The sequence below is a fragment of the Homo sapiens genome, chromosome 1 (assembly GCF_000001405.40).
Source record: "Homo sapiens chromosome 1, GRCh38.p14 Primary Assembly".
Classification (NCBI taxonomy): Eukaryota; Metazoa; Chordata; class Mammalia; order Primates; family Hominidae; genus Homo; species Homo sapiens.
The window spans coordinates 38,691,509-38,706,647 of NC_000001.11; the positions used below are offsets into that span (position 1 = coordinate 38,691,509).

Here is a 15,139-nt window from a genome sequence, read left to right on the forward strand (position 1 = left end):
TTTCTAGAAGAAATAATAGAAAAAAGAACCCTTTGTAGTTTGGGGTTAGACAAGAATTTCTTTGATAGACAAAAGTATTAGTCATAAAAGAAAAAATTAATAAACTAGACTTCATCAAAATAAAACACTTCTGCTCTCTAAAAGACATAATCAAAAAGTGAAAAGGCAAGTCACAAATTGGGAGAAAATATGTGCATCACATATATCTGTCAAGAAGCATGCATAAAAAAGCCAGAATACAAAAAGAACTCTTATTACTCAATAAGAAAAAGACAAAACACTCAATTTTTTAAATGGGCAAAATTTGAATGGTGCTTTATGAAAGAAGCTATACAAAAAGGTCAATAAACTCAAGAAAAAAAATGTTCAACAACATGAGTCACCAGAGCAAATTAAAACTGCAGTGAGATTCCACTTCACACCCACTGAATGGTTAAAGTTTGAAGACAATTCCAAGATCAGATGATGAAGATATGGAGGAACTGGACTTCTCATACACCATTGAGAATATAAAATGGTACAACCACTTTGAAAAACAATTTGGCAGTTTCCTATACAGTTAAGCATATATAGCCCAGCAATTCCATTCCTATGTATTTATCCAGAATAAATTGTGTGTGATACACACACACAGACTTGTATACATATGTTCATACCACTTGTATTTATAATAGCCCCTGTCAAATATTCATCAACAGGTGAATGGATAAGCAATTGTGTCATACCCAGATAATACTACACTCCAATAAAAATGAACTATTGATACACAAGATGAATGAATCTTGAAACAATTATGCTGAGTAAAAAAAAGGTAAAAAGGAATACATATTATATGCTTCCATTTATGTGATATCCTAAAACAGGCAAAACTAAGCTATAGTGATAGAAATCAGAAGAGTGGTTGAACAGAGGCAATTGTGCACAGGGACACCAGGAAACTTTGTGGGAAGATAGAAATGTTCTGTATCTTCATTGAGGTGGTAGTTACATGGGTGTATACATTTATCAAAACTTATCAACCTGTATGCTTTAAAACACTGAGTTTTATTGTACATATGTTTACACCTCAAAAAAAGTTGATTTAGGCTGGGCATGGTGACTCACACCTGTAATCCTAGCACTTTGGGAGGCCAAGGTGGGCAGACCATTTGAGCTCAGGGGTTTGAGACCAGCCGGGACAACAGGGCGAAACCCCGTCTCTACTAAAAATATAAAAAATTAGCTGGGTGTGGTGGCACACACCTGTAGTCCCAGCTACTTGGAAGGCTGAGACACAAGAATCGCTTGAACCCAGGAGGCGGAGGTTGCAGTGAGCTGAAATTGCACCAGTGCATTCCAGCCTGAGTGACAGAACGAGAGTCCGTCTCAACAACAACAACAACAATAACAGTTTATTTAAAAGAATTAGAATAGGATTTTGACAATATCTCAAAGCCAGTACATTCTCCTTACATTGCTGGCTCTTTCCTGCTTTTTTTCCTTACATTGTTTAGTAAAAGAAAAATATTGAATAATACATGGCACGGCTACATTAATCATGATTCTTTGGGTAACATAACTGAAATTCAAACTAGTTTAAGAAAAACAGTTTGGCTGACTAGAACAAGTATCACGGGTGGAACTAACAGTGATGCCCTGCAGGACTCTTGAGTGCATTCCATTCCAAGACTACTGAAGTGCCTGGCTTGCCAGTGCCCCTGGTATGGACAGTGGCAGGTGCAGGAGAGGTGGTGCAGAGCTGTGGGTGGGAAGCCTGGGGACAAAGCTTGCCACTGTGGCCATCTGGGAGTACTTCGATTCAAGCCACTCTTTCCATTTGTCCTTTTCAGAAAATGGTGTCTGTGAAAGACATGAGGAAGAGCTTTTGGGTGACAGATGTCAGCAGCAGCCATTGGAATTGCTTTTCCTAATCATGAGGATTCTAATATCTTTCTTTCCCATTTGGGAAAACCAGGGAAAGGAGGGAATGCAATTCTTTGACCATTAGAGTTACCAGAAGAGACAGAAGATTCTGCTTTGCAACTTAATGCATCTAGATGAATATTGAAGTGTGCAAAGTAATTCCTTTCAAAGCCCATGGGTTGTTGGCTTTTGTTCTTGAGTCCAAGCATTCCAGGTTGAGGGGGTGGGGGGAATGGCAGTATGTCTGAATCTATATAAGAAGGAGACCAGAGTCTACCTCTTGGCATTCACAAAGATACCCAACTACTAATCTGCTGTGTGTACTCAGTACAGGGTCAAGTTCTTGGCAGTGCTGGGAGGAAAGATGGAGGGAGAGGGAGGGAGAGGGAGGGAGAGGGAGGTAAGGAGGAGGCAATACATGAAGCCAGGTTATTCTCCAGCCAAACTGACAACTCATTATTCCTTCACACCCACCTCCCATCCACCTCTGTGCCACATTCACTATGCCTTGAATAGTCTTCTCCCATTGCCCTCGCCTCTCCCAGCATCCTACATGTCCAAATACCACCCATTCTTCAAGATGCAGCTGTGGGGCTGGTCCTAAGATGTGGGATGAAGCCATTCTCCATTGCACTCTACTAGGGCACCCTCCCACCCACACAGACACTCCATTAAAAGACCAGCCCAGCCTTATTTGCAAGTCTATAGCCTCAGAAGCAGAAAAAGTGCTGCTCATCCCATTTATTGTGCATATTATTCCTGTCAGCGGCTTTTAGAGGATTTTGCTAATGGCTCAGGGACTCTATGCACCATCACAATTAAGACATTGCTAATAAATTAACTTTTATGGACATAAATCAGCAGGTATGCTTATTCAGCTGTTACACCTCACTTAGAAGTAGGCTTTGCACCTTAAGATGAAGTATATTTCTATTCAGGAGTTGTAATGGCCTTGTTAATGGAATATTAATTACCTTGGTTGTTGGACAGCAAGATGTCTGCTCCTGCTCTCTTGCCACAAGTGTTCTTACAGAAAAACATTTTTCCAACTTTGTGTCATGAAGGCTGTTGAATCACAGCCAAGCCCACTCCATCCTCCCCAACAGAGGGGCAGAATGAAGTTCACCCCTCCACACCCTGCATCCCAAAGTAGTTGGTTAAATAAAGCCTTAAGCCATCACGATGATCCAGTTCACCTCTGGCACTCTGTACCCCACAGGAGGGAGTTAAGCCAAACCTTAAGCCACCTAAGTGATAATGTACAGTCACCCTCTCCAAAAGACACTGGGTGGAGAGGAAAGCTACACTAAGAGTCAGGAGGCCTGGTTTCTCACCTCCTGTCTTAGTTCGGGCTGCCATACACTGGATGGCTTAGACAACAGACACTTATTTATCACGGTTCTAAGGGCTGGGAAGTACAAGATCAAGGTGCTGGTAGATTCAATGCTTGGTGAGGGCCTATCTCCTGGCTTGTAGACAGCCACCTTCTCACCGAATGTTCACGTGGCCTTTCCTCCGTGTGTGCTTATGGAGACAGTGAGAGAAAGATATATCCTGTCTCTTCCTCTTCTTATAAGGGCACAAATCTCATCGTGAGGGTATCACCCCCATGCCCTCATCTAAATCTAATTACTTCCCTAAGGACCTACCTCCTATTACCATCCCACTGGAGATTAGGGTTTCCACATATGAATTTTGGGGGACACAAACATTTACCCCATAACACCACCACTCCAACAATAGCCAGCAGTGTGACCTTAGGCTGGCCACTCATACACTCTCTGAATCTCAGTTTCCCATTTATTACATGAGTATAATAAAGCAATCATGGAAAAAATGAACAGGAAAATGCAATTCTTAGAAATAACATCAATCATGGACCATTTTGTGATTATCTTTCCAAGCCTACAGAAGAAACACCACTCCCCAAGGGTAGGAATGGAATTTACCTGTAAGGGAATAAATGTTCTGTCAATTATTCAATAAAGTTGTTAACCCAAGAGAAAGAAATGATCCAGGGTTGTGGATCATTGCTTTCTGGTGATGCATGAGGATTTCTCCAGCACGGACAGCCTGGAGAAGAGTGGGCTGCCCTGGTCATGCCAAGTTGGGCCAGAGAAAGCAGTGTAGCCAGCCTCCATGTTTTATCATCAGCTTCAGGGATTGCAGCAGTACAGGTACCCCCAGTGCAGGAAGAGAGCCACATTCAGAGAAGTCAACATCTGAGGCAACAGGGGCACAGCCCTATTATCAATGGTGCAAGCAAATAGCAGTGACTCTTTGGACACATGGACACTAGGGCCATGCCATGAGAAGAGCTGTAGCCTTGCAGAAGGATATTTTCCAGCAGGAAGATAGGTGATAGCTACTAAGTCTATAGAAAATTGATCCATGTGAGGTGGTTAATCCCGGCCCTGGTCTTGGACCAGGTTGGTCCTGAAAACCTGCTCAGCAAAGGAAAAGCCCAATCAGGATGTAGCCCACCTGCTACCAGTCCCTGCTCTGCCCCCAAATCACTGCCATCTTAGGCAGGTCCCCACCCCTATCTGGCTCTAGTTTCTTCCTCTCAACCCAATGACCTCAAAGTCAGATAGCCTCTGAGAGATGCCAGTTAAAAATGATTTAGCATGTGTATCACCTTTCTTTTCTTCATCTGGGGAAAAATTCTCAGACCAGAGGATCTGCTGGAAGAATTTCTTTCCCTGCATTCGTTTAGCATATCAATTCTCACATTTTCTGCTTGAACTTCAGAGCAAAGAACGTGGAAAGCTGAGCCTTTGCCTATTTGACGCACAGTTTTGCATATTCTCCTGGACTCTGTCAGGTCCTCTTTGCCCTTGAGTTACCCATCACAGACCTGCCCTGCTCCCCAGTTAAGGCAAAGCCCATTCTCTCCACAGCTGACTGGGGCAGCTGCCCTGCTCCCCAGTTAAGGCAAAGCCCATTCTCTCCACAGCTGACTGGGGCAGCTGCCCTGCTCATACATCTCCACTCCTCCTGCAGAGAGTAAAGGCCCACACCAAAGGGGGATGCAGAGAATGAGGAACAAGCAATGAAAGAACTCCAGAAGGGGGTTGTAGGTATAAGCCGGTTGTGGGAAAGCTATGGTTTGCAAGGCTGATCAAACAAAACCAAAGCAACCGATGTTCTGTTGGAGCCTGTGGCCTGCCACAGAGCCATATCTGAGTAAGAGGCTTGCTAGCTTTTGGATACTTCAATTTCAGCAGCATCCAGAGCCCCTAGGCTCCTTTCAGAGGTGGAAGAAGAAGGGAAAGCCAATCTATGACAAGATGCCCTTCCTCCCCTGTAGCACTTTGTCCTTTGCTCACTCCACAATAAAATTGCAGTCCCAGAAAGAGTTTCCAGAAACGGCCTTCGGAGGTCTCTCAGCCAGCTGGGGGGGGTCATCTGATCCAGGCTGGGCTTAGCTGGGCAACTCCCAGCTGTGGGTTTGGCCTGAGTCAGCTATACATTTGCCTCACTCTCCTGGATCCAGCCAACTAACTGGATATGTTCTTCTCATGGCAGTGGCAGCCTCTTGAGGCCTAGCTCAAGCTGGCACCACATGATTTCTGCCTTTTTCCACTGGCCAGTGCAAATCACCTGACCAAGCTCAAAGTTAAAGGCCAGGGAAATATACTTTGCCTTAGGAGGAAGAACTACAAAGCCATGTGGAAAGCACATACATACAGGGAGAGGTAAAGTGAGGCCAATAGTGCAATCTACAAAAGGAATGAGTCTCACAGGGTTTCATAGTTGATGGGACCCTTTCTCACACTTTCTTAATTTACTCTTCATAATAACCCTGAGACATGGTGATTACATCTCCATTTTATAAGTGAAGAAATTAGAACTCAGAAAGAAGAGACATGCCAAGATCACACGATCATTAAACATAAAAGTGGGTACACCAAGCTCTTCATCCAACCTTAAGTCCAGAATCTTTGTCATAACCCCAATTCTGGCTTTCCTTAAGGAGATCCTATGAAACTTGGGATTTGTGAAAGAGTCCCCCATTACTGGTGTCCAGTGACAAATTTTATGGAAGGCAAAAAGAGCCTTGGTTTTCTTAACCATAAAATAAAAGATCTGGAAGAAATCAGGAGCAGCAAAATTCTGGCACACATGCTGCCAACAGCCACTCCCACATTCATGGCAGGCATCACCAATCAATGACAGCACTCTTTCCTCATAAGCCTCAGAATCTTTCTCCATACAGCACTGCAAACAGCCACTGTTATTGAGCTAGAGAGGACACAGAAGATGAACACTATTTGTAAATGTTGTGTAAACCTTTTCTGAGTCCCATTCAGCCCCAAATGCCTATGATTCTGAAACTAACAACACTGTGGAACGACAGTGTGGAGAGGACACTGGATGGGATCAGAATTGATTCTAGTCCAAGCTCTGCTATAGCTGTGACCTAGAAAAGACATTAGACTTCTCTGAGCACGGTTGCATCAGTTTTGTGACCTCAAAAACCGTTTACTTTAATTCCATAAACATCAACTGAGTGCCTATTGTGTGCCAAACACTGCTATCAAGGGACTAAAGAAATAAATGAGACATCTATTATGAATGAGACTGCCTCCCTTGGAAGGAAGGCAGGGGAATCAGGGGATGCTCTGATTTCTGAGGTCCAGTTCAATGCCAATATTTCACCAACATTAAAAAGCGCAAGATATTACCATGGGACTCATAGATCCTGCAGGCTCCCCAAGCTTGAAGATCTCCTCCCAGGAAGGAGCATGGGGTTTTTGATGAGAGGATCTGACCTCAGAGCAGGGATTACCATGTTCTACTGTTCTCCATGGCTCCCAGAGTAAAAGGCAAATGCTTTTCTAAGCCAAACCTTTCCAGGTTCATCTTTCAGATTTTAGGGTCCGATAGACCTGAGTATGAATCCCATCTCTGTTGCTTACTCTTCTTATAACCTTGGGTCATCTAGTTACTTGCTGATCATCTGGTTTTCTTACAAGAAAATGGGGAGAACAATCATCACTGCCACGTGTGGTTGTCTTGTATATTATTAAACAAGCAACTCTATGCAAATAACTGCAACACACAGATGTTCTAAAAGAGTTCACATCTCTTTCCTTCCTCTTCTTCACACGTCCCATGCCCCAGCTCAGAGCTTCCCACCCTAGTTGCACAAGAGTCTCTGGTGGGCTTTTAAAAAATAGAGATGCCCAAGATCCCCACCCAGACCAAGGGAATCAGAACTTGTGGGGATGGAGATCAGGGAATTATGTTTATTGAACCTACACGCACCCTGCCCCTGTCAGATGATGTTAAGTGCAGTCACAGTTGAGAACCACTGCTCTAACTGCATTAGTCCAGAGAAACAGAACCAATAGAATATACATATACATATACATATACATATACATATACATATACATATACATACACATATACATGTAAGTTACAGGTAAGTATATATGTGTACATATATACAAAGAGATTTATTATAAGGAATTGGCCCACACATTTATGAATGCTGAGAAGTCTCAAGATCTGCAGTTAGCAAGCTGGAGACCCAGAAGAGCCGATGGTGTAAGTTCCAGTCCAGGTCTGAAGGCAAGAGGAGACCAATGTCCCAGCTCAAAGACAGGAAGAGAGAAAGCATTCTTTCTTACTCAGACTTTTTGTTAGATTAAGGCCTTCAGTGGACTGGATGAGGCCCACCCACATAGGGAAGGGCCACCTGCTTTACGCAGTCCACCCATCATGTATTACCTCACGCAGAAACACCCTCACACACATTCCCGGAACAACATTTGACAGGACATCTGGGCGCCCCATGGCCTGTCAAGTTGACACAAAATTAACTGTCACATTGGTTCAGCCAGCTTTTCCTCACTCCCCAGATAAAAGCAGCATTTCCCTACTTCCCTGGCTTTGCTCACAGAGTTCTTTCTGCCTAAGGAAAGTTTCCCAGCCCCATCTTTGCTAACCAAACTCAACTCAACCCAACACAAATGGTCCAGTTCCCTCCTCCAGGGATCCTCTCATGAGCCTCTTCTGGATTTCTGGAGGAGGAGCCGCTCCAGAATGACCCAGATGGTGCCATCCCTTCCACACAAGCACTTACCCTTTGAGGGCACCTGTGCAAAGCTTCCCCCACCCCCACGAGGCAGGATGAGCAAACGGGGCAAACCATGGGGGAACTCTAGGAAAGGGTCCATCCAGGGAGTGCTGTTTGAGTTACCTGCTACTGTTGTTCAGTGACAAATACAGTTTGAGTAAACTAACAAAATAACTGGAATGTCTCCCAACAGTCCTGTAGAATTGACTGAAGTCACATAATGCAATTACAGAAATTTTTGTTGTTCACACCTCCACCCTTGTCCACCTACTGCAAACTCCAGGCCCCTCGAATGTGACCCCTTTGCCTTATGGAAATGTCCAACGGTCATGCAGACTAACATGTGCTCCCAAGTAGTGTTCCTATGTTTTCTGTTCCTGTCCCCTTCAGAGGCATCTCGGTTGGAACCCCAACATGTCCCTGTTGCCAGTGCCCTCAGGAAGAACATCCTTCACTTTGCAGAATGCTGTATTCAGAGAATCCAAACACCACAGTCCCGGCAGTCCCTCCTAATCCAAAGCCATTTTGCTCCCAGGAAAGGTGGGAGGGAGGCTTTTGTACTCCACTCTGTTCTGCACAGGCCTCTGGGCTACAAAACCATGCTGTCTGTGTCTTCGGTCCCTGGGCCACTAGAAAACCCAGCTCGCCCCCTGGGACTCCAGTTCCCTGAGCTGGGCAGCGCTGGACTCCAGCTGCCTTCTCAGTTCCTTACCTCTGCCTCTACAGTTCTGCATACAAACCTTGCCCCAGGTCAATAAACCCATGCAACTGGATGAATCCCCAAGATGTGGCCTGCCCAGGTTCAGACATGACTGAATTTCCATTTAGGCTTACTGGCACCACAATAATCATTCTTCAAAATCTAGGCAGGGGGAAGAAGCACTTTGGACAAAATAGCCCAGTTGCTGCAAGATGCTATGAGTCTGATCCCCACCAGCCTTGGGTTTATTCCCCAGTAGATACCCTCTTCCAGCTCTGTGCATTATCCTTAGAGGAACAGGAGGGTCCTCATCTTTGGGAACTTTCTCCCATTCATGCTTTGCTTTATTCAAATATCTAAAATTAGGCCAGGCACAGTGGCTCACACCTGTAATCCCAGCACTTTGGGAGGCTGAGGCGGGCAGATCGCTTGAGGTCAGGAGTTCGAGACCAGCCTGGTCAACATGGTGAAACTCCATCTCTACTAAAAACACAAAAATTAATCAGGCATAATGGTAGGCGCCTGTAATCCCAGCTGCTCAGGAGACTGAGGCAGGAGAATGACTTGAATCTGGGAGGCAGAGGTTGCAGTGAGTTGAGATTGTGCCACTGCACTCCAGCCTAGGCAACAGAGCAAAACTCTGTCTCAAAAAAAAAAAAAAAAGAAATATCTAAAGTGAGTCCCATTCACATTTTCTCTGTTTCATCCTCTGGATTATGATCACTCATTTGCTACATTCCTCAGAGGACTCAGTAGCCCCCCTTTTTTTTCAGTGTATTGGCCACATCGCCAAGACCCACTCCCATAAAAATAGTATTGTTGATTTCTATCAGGAGCGGGCGACCTTGTTTGCCCACAGCTGTGCTAGTGCCTGTTAAGCTCACTTCAGCTCCAGCTTCTCCCCCTTTTCTTCCATACACCCCTTGGAGCATGTCAGGACACCTGGAAGATGAGTAGTGCAAGGAAATTTTCACCCTGCCTCAACTACCCACCACAGCAAATGGCCATCCATCAGCAGGGATGTGGATACGTGTGCGCACATGCCCCAGGCGTACTTCGTGGTTGCTGTGCCTATACATGCGTGTGGTATGTGTCTTGACTGTGTGGATGGTGTTTGGGTGCCTGTGTACATGTTATGTAGAGCGTACACTGCATGTTTGTGGAATAGTGTGTGTGGATGACTCACATGTATTTGACGTGTGGCTCGCTTGCATGTATGGTGTTTTGGGAGCCTGGGTACACATGTATGTGGAGCATATACTGCATGTGTGTGGAAACCAATGGCTCATCTGTGCATGGTGTGGGTCTCTGCCATATAATACATTCGCTGTTTGAGCTTGTGTGCTGTGTATGCTGTGTCTGTCTTTGGGGAGGTGGCATGCATGTATTTGGGTGGTGTGTGTGTGTGTGTTTGAGAGGATGAGAGATGGGATCTATAAGGAAACCACACTGACCTGGAAGGAGGTAATTGGGTCCTTTCTAGGATGAGTCTCTCAGGCCTGCCCAAATGCAGAGAAATGCTAGGAGCAGGAGCTATTCGGAAAGGGGGCCCGAGGTGAAGATGGACTATAGACTGATCCCAAGAGGATAACATATGAGTCAGGGCAAGGCTCAGGAGACCTGGAGGAAGGGGTGGGGGCTCAGAGTGGGGGTCTGGCCCTCCACTGGAACAGACAAAAGCAAGGGGTGGCTCAAAACAGAAAGACAAGGAAGGCAGTCACCCAGCATAGCCTTTAGGAAGTGTGGCATACAAAGACTTGGGTTCAAATCCTGGCCTCTACCACTTCCTAGTTGTGTGACCACAGGCAATTGATTTAACTTCACTCAGCCTCAGTGTCCTCATCCACAAAATGGACTGCTATAAAGATGAAAATAACAATATATAAAAGGCTTAACACAGTGCCTGGTACACAGAAAGCACCAAGGAGGTACTCATTGCTGTTGCTTGTGACTGTTATTTTCCTCCCAGCCCCATCATTGCTGGTATCTCAGCCCTACCAGACCAGGAGCCCATGGAGGGTTGCACCACCATCTCCACCAGTCATGCAATCTTAGTCCTGGGATGCATGTCCCTCAGGGAGCACCCACAGTCTCCCTCCTGCTCCCCTGTCTGTCTTGGAGCCTGCCTGCTAGAGCAGCTGTTGTCTGGGGGGGATGACATGTGTGTATGGGTTGATGGGGGAGCTTGAGGACAGCTGCCTACCCTGGGGATGGACCTTCACCCAGCCTCTTCCCACAGCCAAATCCTGGGGAGCATTTGTTCATTCATGTATTCATCCATGGATTGAGAACCTGCCAGGAGCTCTTCTAGGAGCTGGGAACATGACGGTGATTGCAATAGAGGCTGTAGGTGTTTGGGCATTCCAGTATCACATACCAGTTTTAAGTATCAAAATATTAATATTTTTGTTGATTTAATACCATTATTTCCATTTTTTAAAAAACTTGAAATCTGAATTACTTATATTTTGGAAGCTGCCCAAAAAGTTATACACAGATCAAGATTTCTAATCAGCTCCAGGAGCACTCCTTTAGAAACCCATCTGTCCATATTTCTCCCCTGCTGTTGTTATATCCCAAGACCTGGATGGTTAGTTGGTTTGTTGGTCATTGCATTTTCCTTTGGTGGGTTGCTTTTGAGTGTTATTACTAATTTAAACTTCAAAAGCTAGTCTGGGTTCTGCTGTTCCTCCAAGGACCCTGGTGGAGTCTCCTTAGAATGAGAAGGAGCGGTCAATTATGGCGAACAAGAGGAGGATATGGTAGCAGGACTGGGGGGCAAAGAGAGGAGAGGGAATGGTATTTCCAGGTCTTCCCACCTTCCTTTCCCGTGGGCTAGATTGTCTCTGCTCCCCTCCCAGAAAAGGGCCAGATCCCCTGTCAGTGTCATGGCCCGTAGGTGGTTTATTTTAGTTTATTTTAACCATCATGCTCCTCAAAGAACAAAATTGCCTCAGTTCTTTACCTCTGGCTTTCTCTCGGGAGGAAGTTAGGACAAAGTATAGAAGACCTTGGTGTCCATATCTTACCTTTGTAATAAAATGCCAATATTTTGATCTTTCTCAAAATGTCATGTCATTTTGATCCATTGCAATACCCACTGTAGTACAATAAAGAGAAAGATACCTACCCTTGAGGAATTTATATTTTAGTTGGGGAGACACAATAAAGAAATGAGCATATACATAAAATAATTTCAGATTGTGATATAGGCTAGATCATTTCGCTTTTGCCGCATAACCAACCTGCTAATGTTTTATGATTTCTTAAATTTATTCTTACTGATCAGTTAGCTTTTGCTGTATAACCAGCCATGCTAATATTTTATGATTTCTTAAAATGATAATTCATTTTTGCTCATGAGTCTATAGATGACTTCACAGTTTTATTGGTCTAGTCTGGGCTCCTTCATGTGTCTGCAATTGGTCTGTATCTGGAGAAAGCTGGCTATTGGCTAGAGGATCTCAGTTTTCCTCCACGTGTTCTCCCATCCTCCACCAAGCTAGCTCAGGCTCCTTCACATGGCAGTTGCAGGGATCCAAGAGTAAGTGTGAAAGACTGTGAGGCTCTAGAGCTGACATGCCTTTACTTCTAAAACATTCTTTTGGCCAAAGTAAGTCATAAGTCCAGCTCAGATCAAGGAATAGGGAAACCAACCCCATCTCTTGATGGAAAGTGCTACAAAGTCACATCAATGCTGCAAAGAGACACCAATAAAGGGAAGGATGGAAAATTGTGGCCATTTTTGCAATTAACAAACATGGTTTATTAAAAAAAAAAGTTGGGGGGAGTAATGGGATGTGAAAGCAACATGGGTCAGACGCCTCTTCATATTAGGTGGTCAGAGAAGACCTCTCTCAAGAAATAATATTTGAGGTGAGACCTAAGTGATAAGAAAGAAAAGCCCTGCTTTAAAGATTAGGTTGATGAGCACAAAAAGCAGAGAGAGTAGCATGGGCAAAAGTCCTCAGCAGAAAAAAAAAAATCATAATTGTGTTCAGGATTTAGAAAGAAGCTGGGTCTTACAGGAGTAGATGGATGGAAGTGAGAATACTAGGGGATTAAGTTACGGAGAGAGGCAGAGAACAATCATATTTGGTCTTATGGATTATGGTGAGATATTTATATTCATTTTAAATGTGATCAGAAGCCACTGGAGGGTTTTAAGCAAAGAAATAAAATTATGTGATTGAAAATTTGAGAAGGTCACTTTGGCTGCTGTGAGAAGAATAGGCTAAAGTAGAAACAGACAAGCGTAGAAGCAGAAAAATCGTGTAGGAGACTATTGTAATAGTGCAGGCGAGAAATGATCATGGCAGAGACTAAAGTGGTAGCAGTGAAGGTGGTAAGAGGTGAGATGCTCTGGAATATATTTTTGAAGCCAAACCTTCAGGACTTATGAACAGACTTGCTGTTAGAGGAAAAGGAAAAAAAAAATGGAAAAGATGACTCCAAAGATCTTGTCTTGAGTTTCTGAGTAAACGATGAGTGCTATGGTCTAAATGTTTATGTGCCCAAAATTCCTATGTTGACATCTTTACCCCCCAAAAGTGATGGTATTAGGAGGTGGGGCATTTTGGAAATTGATTAGGTTATGACGACAGAGTCCTCATAAATGAGATTAGTGCCCTTTTGTTAATATTATAAAAGAGGCCCAAGGGAGCTTCTTTGTGCCTTCTGCCATGTAAGATTACAATGAGAAGATGTCCATCTGTGAAGGAAACAGACCCTTAGCAGACACCAAATCTTCTGATACCTTGATCAGGGACTTCCTATCCTCCAAAACTGTGAAAAATAAATTTCTGTTATTTATAAGCCACCCAGTCTGCGGTATTTTATTACAGCAGCCCAAACAGACTAAGACAATGAGTTACTGGATAAACCACATTACTGGGCTAAAAAAGACTGTGGGAGGAACATGAGAAAGATGAGGGTAATTCTGAAGCTTTCCTGTGGGCTTGTTAGGTAGCATAGTGGACATCCCAGAAACATCAAATAGAAAGTCAGATGTGTGAGACTGGAGCTCAGCGGGAGGTTGGGCTGTAGATATCCATTTAAGAGTCAATCATATCCAGCAAAAGGCTAGATGAATCTACCAATGGAGAGAATGAATAGAAAATAGAAGGGGGCCTAAGACTGAGGCACAGGGAATGCTAATATTTATAAGTAGATTATTAAGAGAATTTTTAAAATGAGATGGAGTGGCCAGCAAAGTGAGAGAACAAAAAAGAAAAATAAGGTGTTCCAAGAAGGAAGGAGTGATCACTTGTGCTTCCAGCCAAGATGGAGTAACAGAGACCAGACATCCTCACACCGTAAGCAATAAGAATACCAGAGCATTGTTTCACAGCTTTTTATTCACGCAATAAGCAGCACAGAAATTCCATCCCTGAGAGAAGGGAAACAAGGCACCAGCTCACTGCATAGAGGCAGTTTTCAGGTCTTAGCAAAGAGAATGGGGACCAAAACAGAACCCAGCAGTCTGACTGAGTTGAGAGGTTAGAGATGAAAGTTCAGGAAGCCAAGGAAGCTACTGTAATGCAGAGTACCAGATAGGAGGGACCTACACAGAGGGAGAGTTTCAGAGGTCTGTAGAAATGTCCTTGCAAGTCTATGACTGAGTACTGATCTATACATGCATAAGAGGAAACTACCCAAAGATGCAGAAAGAACCATAAGCAAAAAACAGGCTGACTAATTCTAATTCCCAGAGCTCACACAGAACTGGGAATAGACATCCTAATACCTGGAGCATTGGGTAGAAGCCACAGAAGGGAATTGCCTTAGTATTGGTGCTTAATTATGCCTAGACTAAAAGTTGCTTTGGACCTACCATAACAAACGTAAAAGGGTTGAAAAGATCCAATTCATTTCAAGTAACCAAGCACCAGAAAAAAAAAACCAACACTATTTAATTAAGTAAAAATAAAACCAGCAATCAACAAACAATATCTTTGTTTGATCTTCTTGGAATCCCATTAGAAGATCAAATAATAATACCTAGCATTGAATAAAAAATTACCAGGTATGCAAAAAAAAAAAGAAAATTTTTTCTCCATAACCAGAAGAAAAATCAATCAATAGAAACAGACCCACAAATGGTGAAACTAGCAGACAAGGAAAGTAAAACAGCTATTACAAATATACTACGTTTTTCAGTTAGGTAGAGAAAAATATGACCATGATAAGAAGAAAAATAGAAGATAGAAAAAAGAAGCAAATGGAAATTCTAGAGATTAAAAAATACAGTGTATTAAATGAAAAATGACAGATTTGACACTGCAGAAGAAAAAGACCAATGACCCTGAACACCCTAGCAATATAAACTATCCAAAATGAAGCACTAAAAGAAAAGAGATTGGGAAAAAAAATCCATTGGTGACCTTTAGAACAATATCAAGCAGTCTAATATATGTGTAATTGGAGTCCCGAGGTGGGAAAAAAGGAGG

At 43.6% G+C, this 15,139-nt stretch overlaps 1 long non-coding RNA gene across 1 annotated transcript in view, besides 1 other annotated feature; it reads right to left on the reverse strand.

Moving 5' to 3' along the window:
• Window positions 1-1,365: 1,365 nt before the first annotated feature.
• LOC105378660 (uncharacterized) overlaps window positions 1,366-15,139 on the reverse strand; it is a 35,682-nt gene continuing 21,908 nt past the window's right edge. Inside the window, exon 3 of the long non-coding RNA XR_947213.3 lies at window positions 1,366-1,839. This is a non-coding gene — a long non-coding RNA (uncharacterized LOC105378660). The remainder of the gene's footprint in view (window positions 1,840-15,139) is intronic.
• Window positions 8,551-8,770: a silencer, noted in NCBI's record as "fragment chr1:39165731-39165950 (GRCh37/hg19 assembly coordinates)". NCBI's record gives its function as "represses an EF-1alpha promoter that drives an FKBP-Casp9 reporter gene in an ReSE screen in K562 erythroleukemia cells {active_cell/tissue: K562}" and the evidence as "EXISTENCE:reporter gene assay evidence [ECO:0000049][PMID:32094911]".